This window comes from Homo sapiens, chromosome 11, assembly GCF_000001405.40.
Source record: "Homo sapiens chromosome 11, GRCh38.p14 Primary Assembly".
Classification (NCBI taxonomy): Eukaryota; Metazoa; Chordata; class Mammalia; order Primates; family Hominidae; genus Homo; species Homo sapiens.
Genome location: NC_000011.10, coordinates 33,011,430 through 33,034,113, shown reverse-complemented (window position 1 = coordinate 33,034,113; position 22,684 = coordinate 33,011,430). Strand labels below are relative to the sequence as shown.

Below are 22,684 nucleotides of genomic sequence, written 5' to 3'. Positions count from 1 at the left end.
ACGTTCCTTTTTGTCATACACACTGACATTTTATAGAGGAAATGATATGATATCTGAAATTTGCTGGGATGAGTGAGGAGTGAGGGAGGGTACAGATTAAACAAGATTGGCCATGAGTTGGCAGTTGGCAGTATTAGTTAATGGGTACAAGCAAGAGTTCATTACTCTATTGTCTCCACTTTCATGTATGTTTGAAATTTTCCACAATAAGCTTAAAAAATTTTGTTTTCGGAAGCATTAGGACAGTCTGATTTCTGATTTGTCTACAACTTAAGGTAATCAGCAAATTCTTTTTATTATAACCTAAGTTTCTATCTTGCATCTTTAAGGAGTACCTTTCAAAACACAAACCCCACTCCTATTAACATGTAATTATCGTTTTCTTTACTGTTTAATGCTTTCTTATATAAATACTGCAATGTCATCTAAATCTCTATTATGTTCTATAAAGCACTGAGCACAGTAATTATAAATCAACTCAAGTACTTAACAGCAATACACCATATGACTAATAGCTTCTGACACACGAAGTTATACAAAAAAATTTTTATTAAGTACAGTTTCAAATTTAGAGCTTCCACGCTTACAAATGTGATTGGATATTTAGGATACATAATTTATTCTTAAAATACACAACTTATATACAGATATTAAAAACTCAGTCTCCAAAATGCTCAATAAAGATGTCTGGGTGACACTTATAGAATTGACCTAGCAATTTTTTCTTCTCTTTGGCAGAAAGTTTTGAATCCTCATCAAGAGTTTTTAGTAAATTCAACAGCTCATCTTTGGTTGTCTTCTCTGTATTGTTGGAATAGTCACGTTGATCAATTCTCTGGCAATAAATATATCCTTAAAGTTTAAAAGTAAAAAGTTCAGTTAATGACTCAATTCCTCATATTTAAGCAGAAAAATCAAGCAATATTCTTGTCTTTATGTTTTTCTTCCCCATTTTGTAATATGCACTGAAGATGGTAAGCACTGCTGACTTTCTAACACTTGTAAAGTTGCTTTGTATGAATAACTCTGAGGAGAATGTTTTAAATTTGGTTGAAATTAAAGTCCAACTACTTATAGCAAAACATTTTCAAAAAACACCTGAAATTTGTCTTTGGAAGATCATGAAAATAATATTTCTCAGATTACCTGCATCTCTATTTGGATCTCTTCCGTTCTGTATGGCCATAAGCTTAACACTTACAATTTTATGTAGAGTTCCAGGAATCTTAAGAAAAAGAAGGGACATGGGACATTATTCAAATGCATTTTAATCTAGTGATCTATTACATAAGCTCAATTTAACTACTTTCACAATTTTACCTTAAAAACATCTTTCTGATGATCCATTAAAAAGAGTACCAGAAGATCTGTTTTGCCTTTGGATAAATTTTTATTGTCAACAATAGCTTTTGAGAATATCCTTTTCACAACCATTCGGTTGTCACTCTATAAAAATAAAACAAATATATCCAATAGTATATATTTAAGAGACAAGTTTAATATAAAAGGGAATATTAAATATTAATAGCTATTATACATTTCAGCATACTTGATGCTGAAGATGGAATAATCTAATACTTAACCTGTAAGTATTAAGGATATTAAATACAACTAACAGTTAAACAAAAGACTTACTTCTTTCTGTAATTTAAACTCAGAAGGATTTGCTGCAACAGCCATGAAATACAGTAGTCTTCTAAATTCTTCTCTATTTTGGAAATCTAAAAGCTTTAGAAGGAGCTGGGTAGCTTCTAAAGCTATTTCCGTCTTCCCATTCACTTTAGCCAAAAGAAAAAAACTGCTTTTAATTGACCAAATATGACTATATTAAAGGGAACAAAACTCAAGTTACAGTTTGAGTTAAAAAGTGCACTTATTCAAAATTATTTCCAAAAGCAAAAGCAAGACTAGGAATTAACAATGAATGGTGAATACCATAAAGGCAGCTTGTTCTCAAATTGGCAACTAACAGCCTAAGTCCCTGTCATATAATATCTTCTGGCATTAAATCTAACTCTTAGCTTTGTGGATAAAATCCCATTCTGTTTTTCATTAATTCAGTACATTTGGGAGTATACCATGTGTACAATACTCATGTATCCAACTCTCCTTGAGAAAAATAAGAGAAATTTTCTGAAACCTCCAATTTGTTTCCAACAAATTATGTGGCTCATTGGTAGAGAGACAAAGCAGAGAGTCTGCCATTTTGAAGAGATTGAAAGGGGAGTAATGGTGGTGCTGATAACTCTTCTAAAAAAAGAGAATTGCTGCTTTATGCTTAAGCTTCCGGTGAATGAGAGCAGCATTATACTCCTGGGTAACCAGAAGTTTCTGCATAACTTTAGAGCTTGTTAAAGCCTCTTTCCAAATGACCCCTAGAAGTTTTTGAACAAACATACTTTCCATGAATTAATCCAGATCCACTCCCAGCTTGTAGTAGTACTATTCTGGTTCAGTTTGAGAACTAACTTTTTCTTGTTTCCTCCAAAAGATAAATGCTAGTATCCAGTTAGATCTTACTTACCTAAGAGTTCTGCAATTCCATTATGAACGTCAGATAAGTGATTTAACAGAGGTTCCCTACTACTGTAATATCTGCCAATGGCATCAAACAGAAGTTCTTTCACTAAGTCTGTTCGGTCTGGTTGCTCAGGAAAGCTTCTGCTTATTTCCACCACCATTTGGTCTGGAAGGTATTCTAAACAGTCAATTGCTGCCGAGAGCCACTCATCTTCCCTATAGGGGAGAGGGGAAGATTATTTAAAAGGCAAGGGAAGATTATTTAAAAGGCAAAGAATAACAAATATACACATGGTACCTAATTCAGTAGCTATTTCAAGCCATCAGGATAAATTTCTACATGAGCTTAAAAGATATGTGTAGTTCTTTTTAATATATAGCTAGATCACGTATCACATTTACAAATTCAGCTTAATGTTTTCCCTTTACTTTTTCCTTTTTCACGAAAACAAACTCTCCACCACAACACAGAGGTGAAAAGAGCGTACAAATTCAAACTCTACTCTTGCTCTTCACATTTACGATGGAGACCCAGAAACTCCAAGTTACTTGCTCAGGCCTCAGGCAGGACTAGATCTCAGATCTGAGTTCTGGGCCAGTATTTCTCCAACACAATGTTGCTTACTTCAGACCTCTGTCTATGATCTATTAGCTCTCCCTTTAGCTAGGACAGATTAAAGGAAGAAACATTTCAAAATAATTACACATCAGGCCTGGTGCGGTGGCTCACACCTGTAATCCCAGCACTTTGGGAGGCCGAGGCAGGTGGATCACATGAGGTCAGCAGTTCGAGACCAGCCTGGCCAACAGGGTGAAATCCCGTCTCTATTAAAAATGCAAAAATTAGCTGGGTGTGGTGGTGCGCCCCTGTAATCCAAGATACTTGGGAGGCTGAGGTGGGAGAATTGCTTGAACCCAGGAGGCAGAGGCTGCAGTGAGCCAAGATTGAGCCACTGCACTCCAGCCTGGGCAACAGAGCGAGACCTCATCTCAAAAAACAAACCAACAAAATAATTAAATATCAATTATCATCTACAGTAAAATCCTGCTGGGTAACTTCAGAAAAATGTTACATTTCAAGAAATAAAGTAGTAAACTTTTAATATTCCATTTTTTATATCTATCTATCTATCTATCTATCGTTAAAAAGCAATCAATCATGTCCTCTACTGCCATACTGCCATGGACTCAGGACAACTAATTCAGCCAGGTGAGGTATCTCAGGCAGGTCATTTCACCTCTCTTGACATCAGCTTCAACTTTATATGATAAGATGATCTTTAAGGTCACTTCTAGCGCAAATTCTGATTTTGTATATAAAAATTACTAATTACAAGGCTGGGTGCAGTGGCTCACGCCTGTAATCCCAGCACTTTGGGAGGCCAAGGTGGACAGATCACAAGGTCGGGAGTTCAAGACCACCCTGGCCAATATGGTGAAACCCCATCTCTACTAAAAATACAAAAATCAGCCAGGCATGGTGGCGTGCGCCTGTAGTTCCAGCTACTTGGGAGGCTGAGGCAGAAGAATCGCTTGAACCCGGGAGGCGGAGGCTGCAGGGAGCTGAGATCATGCCACTGCACTCCAGCCTGGGCGACAGAGAGACTCTGTCTCAAAAAAAAAAAATTTAGTAATTACACAATGTTTCACATGTTCCTTTAGGTTATAGAAATGTGTTATATCTGCAGAATTCAGTAACACATATGTTGGGATTAACTTTTTCATATAAGGCTTTAAGCTGCCTTTTGGCATTCAACTGTTTATAGTATTAATAGTTCTTTGGAACGTAGAATTAGTGAAGTACTGAAAATGTAATTGTATTCCTTTCAAACATTTTCATCTCCTTAATTAGACTGGAACACTATCTGCTAAGGCAAAATAATAAAAAATTAAGCTAGAAAAATCTGATAACTTATTTTAACCGACAATAATTTTTATAGAAGAGCCTCAAAGTTATGAGTAATACAGAACTCGTCTTTAAGGAAAAAAAAATTTTAATTCCCTCAGCACCTAAAGTTAAGCCTTCAAACCTTAGGATTTATATTCAAGAGAGGAGTAACTGGAATGAGAGAGTTACTTTCATTTTTTTTTTTTTTTTTTTTTTGAGACATTCTCACTCTGTCACCTAGGCTGGAATGCAGCAACATGATCTCAGCTCACTGCAACCTCTGCCTCCCAAGTTCAAGTGATTTTCCTGCCTCAGCCTCCCAAGTAGCTGGGATTACGTGCCACCATGCCTGGCTAATTTTTGTATTTTTAGTAGAGTCGGGGTTTTACCATGTCGGCCAGGCTGGCCTCGCACTCCTGACCTCAAGTGATCCACCCACCTCAGCCTCCCAAAGTGCTAGGATTACAGGCATGGGCCACCGCACCCGGCCTTATTGTATTTCTTTAATACAACTAGTTAACTAAATACATATGTAACAGGCATTCTAGATATGTAATCAAAGGATCTCAATAATCTGTCAAATCTGTTTCTATTCTTCCAGGTCCCTTTGAGGAAATCTTGAGAGTCCAGACAGCTCTACATTTTAACAAAGATAAGAAGCTAAAGCATAATCATTTTTTTTTCACTTAATGTGCAAGTTACATGTGAAACAAAAATGAATATGAAAAATGAAACAAATCTTTTTCTAATTTTGACTAATGTAATTTTGTTCTTCACATTCTCAAATACTGATAATATCAACTAACAATGCATATCTGATCCTATAGAAAAAAGAATAGAACAGATTACCTTAAAACCATTATCTCAATCTACCTACAAACACACTCAAATTATTATATGTATTTCCACATACTGAGAGTCACTATAAGCCTTGAGAATCCCTCGATCCAGATAGTTACTGCTGTTGACCATGGTGGACTGCCTCTTAGGTTGAGGAATTTTAGGTACAGCCTCTTGCTGTTTCAGTAAGGAGTCAAGAAGTGGAAGGTCTACAAGTTGTAGTAGACGCCCAATTGTTTCTTCTTGCCACACTTCATTAATAACTACACAGGAAAAATGACAAGGTGAAAAGTAACAATTAATAGTTACTATATGCTCACCATAATATTTTTCTAAGCAGGTCTAAGCTAGTAAATTTGTGGCCAAAAAGAAAGAAAAAGTCAACCTTACGAAGTGCTTTCTTATAACAAAGTAAAACAATCCAAGATTTGTTTAGAGTGTAGGAGAATAGGCTTTGGACAACAGGAATTCTTTTCATTCTTTGTACTGTAAAAAGCAATCTGTCAGAGATAAGAGATCAAGTCATGTAACATGTTAATAAGGACTCTGGAAGAAAGAATGATTCATTCAAGCTAAAAACTTGTTTGAAACTATTGGTTGCAGATTATTCCACTCAGGGTTTCCACAACTGGAATGGGGGAAAGGGTGGAAATTAAAGTCATTAAACTATATTCCATTGCTACAGACAAGGAAGAACCGAAGAATTCTGTTAATGTTTTAATGTAATTTTCAAATTTTACTTGACCTAATAAAATCTTAGGAAAAGAAACATCGGAGAGCATATTTTCAATACAAATCTGCATGCAAAACATCTCAGATCTGAACCTTTGCCAGCTGATCGGACAAAAGTCAGTGTTCAAGAGTTCTAACACTGATCTATTTGTTAAAGATAATAGACTTCTGTTAAAATTGAACATAAACAGCTTTAATACATAGTGCACTCTTTCTCTGTACTTTGAATATTTAAAATCTAATAAAGATTAAGATTAAAAAATTTTAAATAACTTTGAAGTTTGTCTTCTACTTCTTACTTTGCTTCATCCTTAGCTTACCTTGTGGAGACAAGGTTGCAGAGATATTTACATGAGGGGAGTTGGCAGGCTTTAAACTCAGATTTTCCCACAGGTCCTCTAAACTGGCTGATCTGATATCGGATGACTTAAATAATGCATCTGCATACCTAAAATGAATTTATTTCAGAAATGAACATTTACTAAGCCCACAGAAATATTTTAGTATTTGAGAGCTAAGAGTTTTCTACAGAGTTATGCATTTCAGAGCAAAAACACAACAAATCCAAATTCTAAGAGTAGAATAAATTATAAAAACACCCACCTTCTTTCTCAAGCATAAACATATTCTGTTCTCCTTTGAATATTTTCTTAGATTTAACTAATTCAATGACTAAAATCTTAGTCACCAGTTTAAAAATGCGATCAAACATAACTGGACTTCATTATGCTTACTGGGTTTATCAGTTATCTTTTTGTGGGGCATTCTTTGGTGAACAGTACTTATCGTTTTCTAAATACAGATCTACAGCCCTTTACCTGCAATTCTGAAACCCAAAAAGCTTTGAAAATCAAAGGTTTATTTAGAGCTCATATCATGACAAAATCTGTCCCAAGACTATGATAGCTTTAATTTATCCCGGTAGTATATTCTTTTGTTTACCACGGAAATATCATTATGCTTGATTACCAGATGCTGTCCCAGATGCCTCCAGGGATGGTGAACCACATAAATGTACAAGATAACTTTTCTAAATGCTCCAAAGTTCCAAATTCCTAAATGCATCTGGTCCCAAGGATTTCAGATAAAGTGTGTGGACCTGCATCTGAAAGTTTTGACTGTGCCTTACTTTATCCTCATATTTCCTTTCTACACAAAGAGGTAAATTTTATCATGTTTTAGTTTGGGTCAAAACATGTAAAAATGGGCCAGGCGCAGTGGCTTATGCTTCTAATTCCAACACTTTAGGAGCACAAGATGGGAGGATCACTTGAGCCCAGGAATTTCAGACTAGCCTGGTCTTGAACCATAATGGGATTCCGTCTCCACAGGAAAAAAAAGAAAAGAAAAGAAAAGAAAAAAAATTAGCCAGGCATGGTGGTGCAAGCCTGTAGTCCCAGCTACTGGGAGGCTAGGATGATCGCTTGAGCCCAAAAGGCAGACAATGCAGTGAGCTGAGATCACACCACTGCACTCCAGTCTGGGTGAGAGGGTAAGACCCTGCCTCAAAAAAGTACACACACACGAAAATGAATACACTAAAACTCTGACTTTAGGTCAGATCTGATATAAGAGCTTCAATTATACCTCTGTGTCACCACTGCACAGTTTAGCTGAGGGTAACAAAGGGGAAAGGGTAAAGTTGGTTTACTTCATGACAAATAGCTGTAAGTTCATTATGCATTATCACCCACATCCATTTCAATCACTGGATTCCACAATTCTGTCTCCCCAGTTTCCCTTTAAATAATTCCTTCTTCTCTCCCACCGCAATCTGGGTTTCTCTCTGCCTGCCTTCGCTATGTTCTCATACCAAGTGGTATGAGAACACTTTTTACACTGCAACTATAACCTGAAGCAGGAAAATCAAAGTGTGTTGACTGCTTCTGCTAAATATAAAATATGACTAGGAGACACCCAATAAAGCTAACAAAATTTCATCGCACTTTATCAAATTTACCCACAGACCCATATTTTAGCCACATTTACTGCTAAAAATGTAATATAAAGCCAGTAGGCATCTCATAAAAAGGTAGACAAAATCCTGCCAATATTCCCGTGATAATCTAACATTATATACCAACCTGGCAGGTGAATATAGTTTGTTCTCTTTGCCTAACTGACTGTCTTGGTTAGGTATTGTGGTGAATCTATAAAGGCTGCAACTACTATCTTCAAATGTAGGTTTTTTGTCTTTTCCAAAGACTTTGGTTGGAACTGCTTCAAATACTTTGTAGTCCATAAGCGCTTGACACACTCTCACCACTTTGGCTCGAGGAATATCTACATCACCAAAATACTTATTCTGAATTAGGTGAGAAAAAATGACATCCACAGCTTCTGAACCAACAAAGCAGTCATTATGTCGTTTTAAACGGTGCCTTCGTTTTTTCACTTCCACTTGTGTTTGAAGAGTGTTTATGATGCTGCTCCATACATACGTGGCTCCAAATGGCTTCTGAGCTACACTGAAACCTAGAAGGAGAAAAATCATAGAGAAACTGGGATTTAGTACCTTGTTCATTTGTAATAAGGTCTAAGCAATCCTTAGGCAAAAATGTGGTAATTTCCAAAGTTATTGATAAGGAGCAATTATGAGGGTAGCTTACTGAAATACTGTTTTAATAGCGATTCATTTAAAAATTTGGTACTTATATGCCAAACACTGTTCTATATGCTAAGATGCAACAGTAAGCAAAATAAGATTCCTGTTCTCAGGAACTTAAGACTTTGTAGGAAGATAAAGACAATCCATACGTGTTAGATCAATGCTGAGAAGAAAAATAAAGCTGGATAAGATAAAGAATGCGACTTTAAATGGGATGTCAGGATAGACCTGTGTGATAAGGTTATACCTGAGCAGAAACTCAAGTAAAACCAAGAAGCAAGAAGCAAGCTGTGCAGACATCTGGGGAAAGAGCAAATGCCCTGAGGTGGGAGTGTGCTCTGGTAGGATAGGAGGGAGGTCCGCACAGCCAGAGTGGTGTGGGGAGGGAGAGAAGAACAGGAAGTTAGATCAAGGAGGGAGAGGGGCTGGAGTTTGAGACTGGGAGTTAGGAGGACACATCAAGTAGGACCTTGTGGCAGTTACCAGTTATGTATAAGGATTCTATTACACATCTTATGTAAATTATCTAACCTTCAATAGCAACCTATGAGGTACGTATCATTTCCATTTGAGAGATGGAAAACAGAGTCACAGAGGTTACATGGCACTTCCAGATATTATATTGAAAGAGGTAGTACTGGGACTTAGCTCATGTTTTATATGATTTTGAAGTACTTATGAGTCATACACACACACACACACACACACACACACACACACACAGAGTCATGCATCACAAAACAACATTTCTGTCAACGATGGACCACATATAACAGTGGTCCTATACAATTATAATGGAGCTTAAAAATTCCTGTTCCTATCTCTTGCTGTACCTTTTCTATGTTTAGATACACAAGTACTTATCATTGTGTTACAATTGCTTACAGCATTCAGTATAGCTCTGCAGGTTTGTGGCCTAAGAGCAACAGGCTACACCACATAGCCTAGGTGTGTAGCAGGCTATACCATCAAGGTTTGTGGAACTATACTCTATGATGTTTGCACAACAATGAAATCACCTGACAATACACATTTCTCAGAACATATCCCCGTCATTACACTACGCATGATTGTATACACACACACACACATACACATTGATACACACAATCATTGCAGGAATAAACTAATATTTTTAAAGCCTCCTATTATGCAGGCTTATGAGTTAAATACTTTGTATGCGCGGTAAAGTAACAATTTGGTTCCTGCCCTATAGGAGCTTATGACCTATTGCAAAGACAGAGTACGCACAGAAGAAAGCAAGATTTTTGCCAAACACAAAAGGAGAAAAACAAACTTTCAAAAATATCCTATCACATTTTTCCTCATTGTAATTAGCAGATATTTGGAAATCAATAGGAAAGAAATCAGGTCTTGGGTTTTTGTAAACCGATGGAATGGATTCCAGTGAATCACTCACTTGGTGGCTGGCTGGCTCCCTCCCTTTTTTCCTTTCATAAAGAGTAGGCCCTTTAATGTGTTACACTTTTCAGTGATCCTCTGAAAATTCAGCAGTCTTAATTTAAGCCCCCATTTATGTTAAGTATATTACTTCCTTTATTTTTAGATATTTTGGCAGAGAAGGTGAAGTTATTACTTCCTTTAAGATCGTCTAGAAAGGAAAACCATATGCATGAGTACAATGGTAAGGAAAAAAGGGAATTATAATTAAAGAAATTGCTACTTGAAATTATCTTCCTACTTTTTTAGGCAAAATAGAATGTTTAAGATGAAGAAAGCATAAGATAAGCTCCTGAAGGACATTATTAAAACTCCTTTACAGCCTGCCGAAGGTGGTGAAACCCTCTCTACTAAAAATACAAAAATTGGCCGGGCGTGGTAGCAGGCACCTGCAATCCCAGTTACTCAGGAGGCTGAGGCAGAGAATTGCTTGAACCTGGGAGGTGGAGGTTGCAGTAAGCCAAGATAGTGCCACTGCACTCCAGCCTGGACGACAAAGCAAGACTCCGTCTAATAAATAAATAAATAAACAAAAACTCCTCTTAGTGCACTAGAGCCATAAATTATAAGTGGGTCATTTGAAATTCATCTCTTACGTTGCAATAAATATAAGGAGTACACTGAACCACTACACTGATTTCACTTGTAGCATAATTCTGTAGCTACTAGCAATTTAAACATCTTTATAGTGAAAATGAATAGCATATACACAAATACACAGTCCTTTATTGTTTATTTGTATATTTCTAATACCAAAAGTAGATGGGTAATTTACCACCTACCCATTATTATAACGTTGGTTTAAAATGATCAGCAAGATTTTTTTTTTTTTTTTGAGACAGAGTCCCTCTCTGTCACCCAGGCTGGAGTGCAGTGGCGTGATCTCGGCTCACTGCAAGCTCCGCCTCCTGGGTTCATGCCATTCTCCCACCTTTAGCCTCCCAAGTAGCTGGGACTACAGGTGCCCGCCACCACGCCCGGCTAATTTTTTGTATTTTTTTTTAGTAGAGACAGGGTTTCATCGTGTTAGCCAGGATGGTCTCGATCTCCTGACCTCGTGATCCACCCACCTAGGCCTCCCAAAATAAGCAAGATTGTTTTTAATTGTCAAAATTGTATTTTAAATTTGAAGATATTTCATAAGCCAGTACTAAACAAAGATGGAAGTAATTGTTGCCAGTCTTCCAAATATAATGTGAGCTATTTCAGGAACTGAATTATGGAGAATTGACTAAATAAATCAAGCTGGAATTAGATCTACTCTTGGTACAGTATTTAGTCTCTGTTGAACAGAGCAAGAATGAGGCATTTGATGGAATCTCAGAGTAAGTCCAGGTCATTTCTGGTATCCAGAACTCAGGAGTAGTTGTACTATTTCCAGCCACAATGCCTAAACATTGTTAGCGACTAATATTCTTAACTTCCTAAAATACCAGAGATTATAAATAAGATTTAAAATAAACAATTTCTGCTTAATTTTTCAAATCTTTATTATTAATAGCTAACATTTGAGTATTTACACTATGACAGGCTCTGTCTTCTCGCATTTAATTCTGATAAGCTTCTCTGCAAAATGATTATTAATAATCCTATTTTGAGGAAATTGAGGCTCTGTGAGTTAAATGTGCCCACAGTTACACAGCTGATAAATATATACTAGTGTTTCCTAGTACTTAAACATAAATATATGAAAAGTCAGCCATCAGATAAGTTGTTTAAGCATTAACCTTTCACTGGAAACTTGGATTAAGTGAAACAGCTTTAAGAGAGCCAAGAGATAAAACAAACTCTAAGAACCCTTAACCAAGCTATTTAAAAACAGTAGTCACTACTCATAAAATAAGGCAGGATATCATAAATTCTGTAATAAATACTACCACAGTACACAGGGTAAGACAGGAAAAGGAAGACATGCAAGATTCAAACTTCAATCAGACTGCCTTTTAAGAACCAATGAGACAGACTTTTGGACTAGTGATAATATAAAGATGAAACACATAAGTCATAACACTTGAGCTATAAGTAGGTTAGCACACAAATCCTAAATGACAAGGCTGAGTCACTTATTAATTACAGATCAGTAAGACAGCTGAAGAGGGCGGTGAGAGGGGATATTTGGCCTCAATGAGTAGAAAAGGCTAATCTTCACAGAAGAATTAAGAGGTAAAGAATAAATTTCCCCATATTAACTTGTGGGAAATCAGGAGGTTCTGCAGGTTGTATAACACTGCATAAAAGATTAAAGAACTAGTTAGAGCAGGAGAGTAGACACCTGTGAACCACAGGTTTCCAGAGTCCTCCAGGCATGATACAATGCAGCCCTCACAGGTCCCCTCTGTTCTCACTGACCATTAATTCCCAACCATTGCATCCTGGGATATTTCCCTTCAAGCACCACCACCCACAAACTAGCTCATGTTCATACAGATGCTTTCATACACAATGTACCCTGGACTTGACAAGTAAATGTGCCAAAACCCATACCAGGATAACCTGCTTTTTAAAATGCTGACTTCACCAGCTGAACATATATGGTTTGAAACTTATTTATCGTCATTTAAAAGCTGAAATGAATATTGGTATAGCAGATCATGGCCCAGTAAGATGACTTACTGTGATTTCTAAACAGGATTTAAGAGACCAAAAATAGACAATGAATGTTTTTTAAGTCTTGCAATCAGAATTAAGGGTTCAGCTTGTCCTCAAACCTCACTTTCATATGAGCTAAACAACCTTTTAAAATCCATCACTATCTACATCTTGATGCTTCCTTACATTTGGTCAAGCATTTTCTTTTTTTTCTTTTTTTTTTTTTGAGATGGTGTCTCACTCTGTCGCCAGGCTGGAGTGCAGTGGTGCGATCTTGGCTCACTGCAACCTCCAACTCCCTGCTTCAAGTGATTTTCCTGCCTCAGCCTCCCAAGTAGCTAGGATTACAGGCACGCGCCACCACGTGCAGCTAATTTTTTTTTGTATTTTTAGTAGAGACAGGGTTTCACCATGTTGGCCAGGATGGTCTGGAACTCCTGACCTCGTGATCCACCCACCTCGGCCTCCCAAAGTGCTGGGATTACAGGTGTGAGCCACCACACCCAGCCTGGTCAAGCATTTTCTAAAAGCATCATAACAAATGGAATCAAAGAGTTTAGAGATCAGCTGTAAAAACTCTGGATAAGAGACAATCTCTGTAAGTAGGTTTCTTTATCTACTGATAAAATAGTTGAACACAATATTTTAGGTTAGTTTCAGGTCTAAACTGCCAGGGCAGGCACAGTGGCTCATGCCTCTGACCCCAGGACTTTGGGAGGCCATGGCGGGAAGATTGCTTGAGGCCAGGAGTTCGAGGTTACAGTGGGCTAGGATCGCACCACTGCACTCCAGCCTGGGTGACAGAGTGAGATCCTGTCTTTAAATAAACTGATTATAGGAATGTAAAGACTGAAATTATATCTCCTCCATTTAGATAAGGACATTGAACACCAAATATGGCAGATCTATAGGCAAGAAAGGAAGCATATGGACAAATTTGACCCTACCAGATACAAAACCTTTTGGAAGGTTGCCTAAGGAGGCTCAGGAATAATTTGATTATCTAGCCTTCAACACATAGTCTCAAGCACTATATAAATCTAGGCTAGTTAACCTTCATTTTTCAAGCAGTCTCATCCTTATTTGCTTGAAAACAATAGCTATTTTTCAAAAGCTGCCCTTCACATGTATTTGAACTCTACCATAAAAAACGTTTACCAAAAGTAAAAGTTAAACTTCTAAGATAATATTGAACACTTATATATACGTGTAGTACCAGTAATAATCATCCTCACTTCTAAGAATTCACACTAAATAACTGAGTCATAATAATTCCCTAAAAATGTAAAGAAATTACATTTACCCAAAAATTAGGGATAATCAGCATCAACCATAATCCACCCTGTCAGCAACCCTAGTCCTACTGTGAAAACCTATGAAAACCTATTTAAAGGGAAAACAATTGTATAATCACTTCAAATAGTAAGATTATATTAAATCTTTAGAAGTAGATCAATATACACATTATAAAATTGGATCCCAATGTAAGGTAAACATACACACAGAATTAATAAAACACACTACCTCTTAATGAACATATAACAAATTTGTTTCCATTCTCGGTCTTTAGACTGGACTTAAAAAAAAAAAAAAAAAAGGAACTGAATCCAGACAGTTGATGTTTCTCCATAAAACTTTTAAGAGATGGTGAGCTAGTGCCCGATTTCTTTCAGATTTCCTAGCGGTTTACAGAGGTTTAAATTATTTAATTGCCTTACAGATTGCCTCAATATAATACAATTGGTTAGTCAATATTTGTTAGTTGTTAATTATTGCTAACTACTAAAAAACTTACTTTTTTTTCTTTTTTGAGACAGAGTCTCACTTTGTCATCCAGGTTGGAATGCAGTGGTGTGATCTCGGCTCACTGCAACCTCTGCCTCCTGGGTTCAAGCGATTCTCCTGCCTCAACCTCCTGAGTAGCTGGGATTACAGGTGTGCGCCACTACACCCAGACAATTTTTGGATTTTTAGTAGAAATGGGGTTTTGTCGCATTGGCCAGGCTGGTCTCAAACTCCTGGCCTCAAATGATCCACCTGCCTCAACCTCCCAAAGTGCTGGCATTACAGGTGTGAGCCACTACACCCCGTTCATAAAAAAAATTTTTAAAGGAAGGTTAACCCAGTGGTTCTCAGTGGGTGATTATACCCCCAACAGGACATGTCTGGAGACATTTTTGATTGTCACAATGAGTGTGGGTATTGCTGGCATCCAGTGGGTAGAGGGATGCTACTAAACATCTTACAATGCACAGACAGCACCCACAACAAAGAAAACGTCAGTAGTGCCAAGGTTAAGAAACCTTGGGTTGACTGAATACTGTTCAGACATGGAAACTTGAGTTAACGCAGCAGACACAGTGCTAGGTGCTGTGACTACAAAGAGTTAGACCAGTGTGGACTCTGCAGTCCCAGGGACCTGAGTTCCGTTGTTGGGTCCATCATTTACTAATAACACGATCTTGGGCAAACTGCCTAACTTTTCTGTTGCAAAACAGAGCTAACTCCACTTCTCTCACTCATTGCGAGGATCATGAGACAATATGTTAATGTGTCTCGCAAAATGTCCAGAAATTAACAGATGTATCACTAAAAACAAAAGGAGCAAACTGTCACAGTCTAGAAGAGTAGATTCATTACATGACAACTGAATGTAATATAATATCTTGGATGGGATCCTGGAAGAGAACATTAGGCAAACACCAAGGGAATCTAAGTGTGGACTTCAGTTAATAATTATATGTATCAATATTGGTTCATTAATTATGACAAATGGACCATACTATTTAGTGAATCTAAAATTTTATTTTAAAAGTAGAAAGAAAAGGGAGGTATCTTTCTTCCTCTTCCTTCCTCTGAACTCAGAGGACACAGTCCCCAACCTTAGGAGTTTACCTTTTATTTACTCCTACTACCTGGATGATAATGTCAAGTTCTGAATAGTATTCAATCACATAAAGGCCAACAGGAGATGAGAAGACAAGATGTGACACATACCAGAGGATTTAACTTTTCATCAGAAAATAACACATCTATAAATCCTAGACCATTTAGGATTTAAGAGAATTTTAAGAAAGATTTTTTCAAAAGAGGTTTTAAAATATTACTCACACAAAGAATTGTCAAGACAACAAAGAAAAAGGACATTTGTTGGATAGTAACCAAAACCTCATGAAAATATTAATAGATAAATGTAAAGAGAATTGTGTTTATGGTGTTAAAACTTGACAGTTGTGACTGAGTGGAAAAATTTTCTATACTATGATCCCAAGATTACAACACTTTTACTGGATATTGGTTCTGGTAGTCCAAAGTTTATTTTCCTGCTAGTTGGCATTAGAGGCGTCATGCTGAAGACTGCGATTGCCTCTGAAAAGAAGGCTGCAGGTAGGTAAAAGAAGTCTACCAACAAGAAAAATTTACAATATCTACGAGAATTATCAGCAAAAGCAGACATTGGTCTCTGCTTTAATTCACATACATTAATGAGACAGCATATGGGAAGTACTTTGAGCTCCCTGGAAAAGTGATACCAGGCAAACTCAAAGAATTAGGTTACAGTATAAAGGGATAACAGGATAACAGACTACTTTCTTGTTTGTCGTATTAAAAGACAAGTGTTTTTGACATACTGGCTGAAGACTGGCATATAGATCTCATTTCTTGTACATAAATCAGGTCCCTGGTCATTACAGCCCCTTTAAGGTAAGTGAGAGTTACTAATCGGTGGAGAAACAAAAGTACAAAGCTGCCTGCCAGAGCACACAGAAAGAGAATGGCAAAGAACCAATAACCGTGTGCTCCCACTACCTTGCTCACTGGAACTATGACAAGGCAACTAAAGGGTGAAAGAAAGGCTAACAAATGTTACCAGGTCGGGATTCCAGCGGTAGCAAGCAAAACGAGTGAGAACAACAGCGGGCCCCTCTCCGTCCACTGCAGCTAGTGTGCCGAGGACAGTGTTCCTTTGATTCCTGATAACCAGCACTTCAACTCTTCCCTTAGAGAGTTATCTACTTAATTTCTGAATACATACTTCCTTACACCATCTAAGAACCTGTTCACAAATGCCCAAAGCTCCAGAATTGGTATTTCAGCTATTAGAGAAAACAGGGTACCATGTTTTTATTTTAAGCAGGTGACATTTGGGAATTTCCTTCACTGAGTAAGTGGGCCCAAAAGATTTCTCAAGACTGTTTTCAATGTCATTTGGTTTTAAATTCCCAAATGTCTTAGCATTTGTCTTCTCTTCACAACATAAATCAAGGAGACATTCTCAATGTGGCCACTATGTGCTTACCTGAATCCTTTACATGGAAGCAGACTAAGGTCAATATTATGATTTTTCTTAGAAAAGGACAAGTGAAAAATGGTTCTCTACCATAATCTGTCGTTAGCATTTTGAAGATTAAAATGAGCATTAGTGAGTAAGTCAAACACAAGAGTGGGGCCACTGAGAAGCACCCATTTGACCCAGAGGAAGGAATCACAGTTTCACTGGTTGGTGTTTTTACAAATGAAAGGCTTTTGTCAGAAAGGGAACTAATTCCTACGACATCCCAGACTGGAGCTCCAGAAAGGGGAAAAAGTTGTAACTTAACCAAAAGAAAAAAGCCAAGGGTTATCTGAGTATCTTAACAGTTATCTGAGTCACCCCTATTAACTGGGTTGTAGATCTGCTATAACCAGCATTTTAGAAGTGATATCCGATTCTCTTCATGTGTTTGAACATTTAAAGAAACCAGAATCCTAAATCAACTGCCCCCAAAAGACACGATTAGGCCCGTGGCAGAATTTGCCAACTTCCCTCCTAATTTCATGTAACTGTTTTTTTAGCCAAAAACTTCTATTCACTAAAATACTGCTTATACATAAAGTGTTAATAAATACCTTTTATGCCAAATTCCTGCCAGTAGAACTCACATAAACCTCTCATCCCTCCCAGGAAGAGTCTGGGGAGACAAGCTGACTCTTGACTCCTAGCAGTCTGGAGAACAAAGTGGGCAAGGGAGGAGCTCGGCCCCTGGCCATACTGTGTCGTCAAGGTTTGTGGTTGAGACAGGGGGCAAAGAACTACACAAATTCCAGATACCACACTTGTCACCGGTAGCACCGCGGAGCATATCCCGGAGCTCCCCGGCGCGTGCCTGGCACGTTAGCGGGCGCACAGACCAACGCGCGGTCAAGTTGAGAGTCTGGGTAGAAAGAAAAAAGCTGGGCTGTGCGGGCGGGCTCTGCCGCTTGCAGCCCACCAGCCAGAGAGGAACTCGATCCGCCCGCTCGGCGGGGGCGTTGGCCAAGTGGTCGCAGCTGTGCTGTGCTCGCCCAGCCGGCCGTTGACAGGCGCAGGCGGCCGAACGCCCCACGCCGCCCGCCCCGCGCCGGGACCCAGCCCGCGCACCCCAGCCCGCCCCGCGCCATCCCAGGCGGCAGTCCTCGGCACCTACCCGGAGGCCTGTGCGCGGGGCTGTGGAGAGCCGAGAGGTTCAGCGCAGCAGCCTTCTCCTGCACGGTGGCCATGGCCCTTGCTCCCCGGACGCCAACTCCTCCAGCAGCTTCACAGCTCCCTAGCTCCCTGAGCGCCCGTCTGTTAACTGTGCGGGGCGTGGCTCCCTGCAGGCCCCGCCCCCGCTGCCGGTCACGTGTCTCTCTGGCAACCACTGAACGTAGCCCGCGGCGCCAGCGATCCAAGTTTCCTCGGGCGCGATGCCACGCGAGCGGTGGTCGGGGACAAAGCGGTTCCCTGGGCCGGCACTACGCGGCCCGCGGCTCACACCAGCGGGATTCGAACCGCGGCCTGCCGTAGATTAACTCGGGACCAGGCCGGGCGCGGTGGCTCACGCCTGTAATCCCAGCACTTTGGGAGGCCAGGGCAGGTAGAGCACCTGAGGTCAGGAGTTCGAGAGCAGCCTGGCCTACATGGCGAAACCCCTTCTCTACTAAAAATACAAAAATTAGCTGGGCTTGGTGACAGGCGCCTGTAATCCCAGCTACTCGGGAGGCCGAGGCACAAGAATCGCTTGAACTCAGGAGGCGGAGGTTGCAGTGAGCCGAGATCCACCACTGCACTCCAGCCTGGGCGACACAGCGAGACTCCGTCTCAAAAAAAAAAAAAAAAAAAAAAGAAATAGAAAAAGTCGGGAACCTGGCAAGCTGCCTAACTGCTCTGTGCGTCGGTGTCCTCACCTGTGATGCGGGGGTAGGTTTAGTACCTGCTTCACTGAGATGTTTGTTTGTTTTTTAACGAGGTTTATAGGAACCAATTCAGGTTCAGCATTTAGTAACTGCGTCCGGAACGTAAGTGCTTAAAATTATGTCATAGTAGTAGTAGTAATAGTGATAATAACAATAATAATCGAGTTTTTCAGACATCCCTACCTGTGCAGAACAAACAAATCCTATGTGGCCCAGGAGAGCAATGTCTAGAGGTCACAGGAGGGCAGCAACGAAAGACCCTGGGACTGGCTGCCAGGAAATCTGTGCTGCCTCCAAAGGAACTGTGGGTCGGGTGGGTAGGGACAGTTTGCTGCCGGTTGGAGTGAAGGTGAGGAGAGAAAAGGAGGAAGGGCTATTAATGGGACACATCTTAGTTACTTGGAAGTTGAAGCCAGGCCAGGGATCCAATGCTGGATACCTCTGAAAGGATGAGTGGTCTTAGAGACCAATAATCCAATTGCCAGACACTTGCCCTTTTTTTTTTCTTTTTTTTCAAGTTTGGGAATTTTGCAATGATTTTCAAAACGATTATGACGTCTTCTTAGAAGGAGGATGCTTGTGTGATTTAGGTGTAAATTAGAATGGTGTTTAAGTGGGAGTTCATTATTTAGCTTATTGGAAAGAGCTTCTACATGGGATTGTTTCAGAGAATACATACTAAGAAGCTGCCCCTGGGGACTTGGGTTTGTGGGTGGGAGGTGGGGGCCAGTTGCTGCTGCTTAGTGTTAGAAAAAGCTGGCCAGGCACGGTGGCTCACGCCTGTAGTCCCAGCACTTTGGGGGGCCCGAGGCAGGGGGATCTTCGAGGTCAGGAGTTCGAGAACAGCCTGGCCAAGATGGCGAAACCCCTACTAAAAATACAAAAACTGTCCGAGTGTGGTGGCAGGCACCTGTAATCCCAGCTACTTGGGAAGCTGAGGCAGGAGAATCGCTTGAATCCAGGAGGCGGAAGTTGCAATGAGCGAAGATTGTGCCACTGCACTCCAGCCTGGATGACAGAGTGAGACTCCATCTCAAAAAAGAAAAAAAAAGGTTGCCAACCAGTTGGCAACCTTTTTTTAATGTGACCTCTTCCCCTGATGGTAGTAAAACCCTGCTTTACTTCTGTTTAAGGATTTTCTTTGTAATCTCTCAATTGGCTGCTACACACAGAAAGAGGATGCATTCAGGGCTGGTTTCAGGCACCCAGTATACCAATGAACTTTATCCCGTGCTGTATAACTGAATGAACACACAAGTCCTCCCTCACTGCATGGGAGGGGGGAAAAGCTCATCTGTCTCAGAAGACAAATCTTGAAAAACACTAATATTTGAAAAAGCTTGGTGACCTCAGTGACCATTTTGATACTTTATATAACATTTCAGAGAGTTTTTCACCAGGTTATGCAATAATTGTTTACCTCTTCTGGAATGCTGAAATGTTCATCTCTACTCAGATACTTTCTACAACCATGGGATAGGAAATGCCTATCCCTTTTCCCACTTTCTTCCCTGGACAGATTTTTCCAGGTTACCCGGGTGTGTTTTTTTTCTCTGAGCACCTGTGGCACTTATCAAATGCATTACTATTCATCTCCTGCTTGTATTGATACTCTCTGATTATTACAGCACACACATATCTTTTTTTATTATAATTTAAGTTCTAGGGTACATGTGCACAACATGCTGGTTTGTTACATATGTATACATGTGCCATGTTGGTGTGCTGCACTCATTAACTCGTCATTTACATTAGGTATATCTCCTAATGCTATCCCTCCCTGCTCCACCGACCCCACGACAGGCCCCAGTGTGTGATGTTCCCCTTCCTGTGTCCAAGTGTTCTCATTGTTCAATTCCCACCTATGAGTGAGAACCTGTGGTGTTTGGTTTTTTGTCCTTGCGATAGTTTGCTGAGAATGATGGTTTCCAGCTTCATCCATGTCCCTACAAAGGACATGAACTCATCCTTTTTTTATGGCTGCATAGTATTCCATGGTGTATATGTGCCACATTTTCTTAATCCATTCTATCATTGATGGATATTTGGGTTGGTTCCAAATCTTTGCTATTGTGAATAGTGCTGCAGTGAACATACGTGTGCATGTGTCTTTATAGCAGCATGATTTATAATCCTTTGGGTATATACTCAGTAATGGAATGGCTGGGTCAAATGGTATTTCTAGTTCTAGATCCTTGAGGAATTGCCACACTGTCTTCCACAATGGTTGAACTAGTTTACAGTCCCACCAACAGTGTAAAAGTGTTCCTGTTTCTCCACATCCTCTCCAGCATCTGTTGTTTCCTGACTTTTTAATGATCGCCATTCTAACGGGAGCACACACATATCTTAATTGCCTAAGAAAATTGGAAAATTGCCGGGTGTGGTGGCTCATGCTTGTAATCCCAGCACTTTGGGAGGCCAAGGCTAGCAGATCACCTGAGGTCAGGAGTTCGAGACCAGCCTGACCAACATGGAGAAACCTCGTCTCTACTAAAAATACAAAATTAGCCAGGCGTGGTGGTGCATGCCTTCAATCCGAGCTACTTGGGAGGCTGAGGCAAGAGAATCACTTGAAACCGGGTAGTGGAGGTTGCAGTGAGCTGAGATAGCGCCATTGCACTCCAGTCTGGGCCAACAGGAGTGAAATTCCATCTCAAAAAAAAAAAAAATTGGAAAATTGTCCAGGGCATGGAGCATATTTTAACCTCTTGGACTTCTTTCAGCATTTGTGCATTGCTGGGCAAATAGTAGATGCTCTGATTGTCCCCATCAAAATACAGAGCTTTAAAAAATATCAGTTTCCTACTTTTTAAAGTTTAAAGTTTAGTAACTTCTAATAGAAAAAGTTCTTTTAAAAATCCCACCTGGGTGGTGGCTCATGCCTATAATCCCGGCACTTTGCGAAGTTGAAGCAGGTGGATTGCTTGAATCCAGGAGTTTGAGACCAGCCTGGGTAACATGGCGAAACCCCATCTCTACAAAAAAATACAAAAAATTAGCAGGGCATGGTGGTGTGCGCCTGTAGTTCCAACTACTTTGGAGGCTGATGTGGGAGGATCGCTTGAGCCCAGGGAGGTAAAGGTTGCAGTAAGTCAAGATCGTGCCACTGCACTCCAGCCTGCGTGACAGAATGAGACCCTGTCTCAAAACAAAAACAAAAACAAAAACAAAAACCCTTTCATAACTAACAAGTATCACAATCACACAGTTTATGACGTGAAAGGAAATTTCTTTCATCCCTTTCTGATTAATCAGTGCACAGCTGCAAAGACTTTGGCCTTTTTTGTTTTCAGTGCCATAAAACTACCAGCAGCATACACCCAAGCTGTAATCTTTGCATAGTATTTTTTATTTTCACTTACAGAGTGCTTTAAAACCACTTTTATTGATTATTTCACCAACAAGTGTGTCAAGTCAGTATATGTTTAGCATATGGGAAAAACTTCACTTGATCTAAGCTTGTCTAAGATCAAACTTGTCTAAACCTATCAAGAGGTAGGAAACAGAGCAGAAAGTTTATGATTCACTAGTCTGTTCTGGTGCAATCCAAAATTCACCCAAAAAAATGTTTAAAAAACCACCAACCCACTTCCTGTTTCTGTGGCACTGTAAAACAGTGATGAGTAAAAACTCTTCCATAGTTTTTTTAACTTTGTTATTAAGATGGCAATATAATATCATCCTTTCACTGTTAAAACATCCAAGTTGTAATCTTTAAATTTCCATCTCATATTTTTGCTGACTCAAATTTCAGGCTCAGGCCAGGTGCAGTGATTCATGCCTGTAATCCCGACACTTTGGGAGGCTGAGGTGGGTGGATCACCTGAGGTCAGGAGTTCAAGACCAGC

At 39.7% G+C, this 22,684-nt stretch overlaps 1 protein-coding gene and 1 long non-coding RNA gene across 4 annotated transcripts in view, besides 4 other annotated features; one reads left to right on the top strand and one right to left on the bottom strand.

Moving 5' to 3' along the window:
* Positions 1-531: 531 nt before the first annotated feature.
* On the bottom strand, positions 532-18,236 carry DEPDC7 (DEP domain containing 7). Of its 2 annotated transcripts, none has more exons than NM_001077242.2 (9): positions 18,086-18,236; positions 8,065-8,455; positions 6,301-6,428; positions 5,322-5,511; positions 2,525-2,736; positions 1,636-1,778; positions 1,321-1,446; positions 1,147-1,225; positions 532-852 (listed from the first exon to the last, which is right to left on the bottom strand). In NM_001077242.2, exons 1-9 carry the CDS (start codon positions 18,156-18,158, stop codon positions 659-661), a joined length of 1,536 nt encoding a protein of 511 aa, NP_001070710.1. In that variant the 5' UTR covers positions 18,159-18,236; the 3' UTR covers positions 532-658. The 2 variants fall into 2 exon arrangements, with proteins under 2 accessions (NP_001070710.1, NP_631899.2); NM_139160.3 differs by lacking the exon at positions 18,086-18,236 and adding an exon at positions 17,529-17,997.
* Positions 17,962-18,021: a silencer, noted in NCBI's record as "silent region_3230". NCBI's record gives its function as "represses an Ori minimal core promoter by ATAC-STARR-seq in GM12878 lymphoblastoid cells {active_cell/tissue: GM12878}" and the evidence as "EXISTENCE:reporter gene assay evidence [ECO:0000049][PMID:35858748]".
* The window catches only part of LOC105376615 (uncharacterized), a 59,453-nt gene continuing 55,092 nt past the window's right edge, over positions 18,324-22,684 (top strand). For both annotated transcript variants that reach the window (XR_931167.2, XR_931168.2), the window contains exon 1: positions 18,324-18,837. This is a non-coding gene — a long non-coding RNA (uncharacterized LOC105376615). The remainder of the gene's footprint in view (positions 18,838-22,684) is intronic.
* Positions 18,342-18,391: a silencer, noted in NCBI's record as "silent region_3229". NCBI's record gives its function as "represses an Ori minimal core promoter by ATAC-STARR-seq in GM12878 lymphoblastoid cells {active_cell/tissue: GM12878}" and the evidence as "EXISTENCE:reporter gene assay evidence [ECO:0000049][PMID:35858748]".
* Positions 22,234-22,283: an enhancer, noted in NCBI's record as "active region_4570". NCBI's record gives its function as "activates an Ori minimal core promoter by ATAC-STARR-seq in GM12878 lymphoblastoid cells {active_cell/tissue: GM12878}" and the evidence as "EXISTENCE:reporter gene assay evidence [ECO:0000049][PMID:35858748]".
* Positions 22,564-22,623: an enhancer, noted in NCBI's record as "active region_4569". NCBI's record gives its function as "activates an Ori minimal core promoter by ATAC-STARR-seq in GM12878 lymphoblastoid cells {active_cell/tissue: GM12878}" and the evidence as "EXISTENCE:reporter gene assay evidence [ECO:0000049][PMID:35858748]".

Bases quoted from the DNA above. Each gene is read 5' to 3' on its own strand.
- DEPDC7 (NM_001077242.2), bottom strand. From the start codon at position 18,158: ATGGCCACCGTGCAGGAGAAGGCTGCTGCGCTGAACCTCTCGGCTCTC. The intron at 6,429-8,064 runs GTTGGTATATAA...AATTCATTTTAG, and splicing joins AAACTATATTCACCTGCCAG to GTATGCAGATGCATTATTTA. The intron at 1,447-1,635 runs GTAAGTCTTTTG...TTATTTTTATAG, and splicing joins AGTTTAAATTACAGAAAGAA to AGTGACAACCGAATGGTTGT.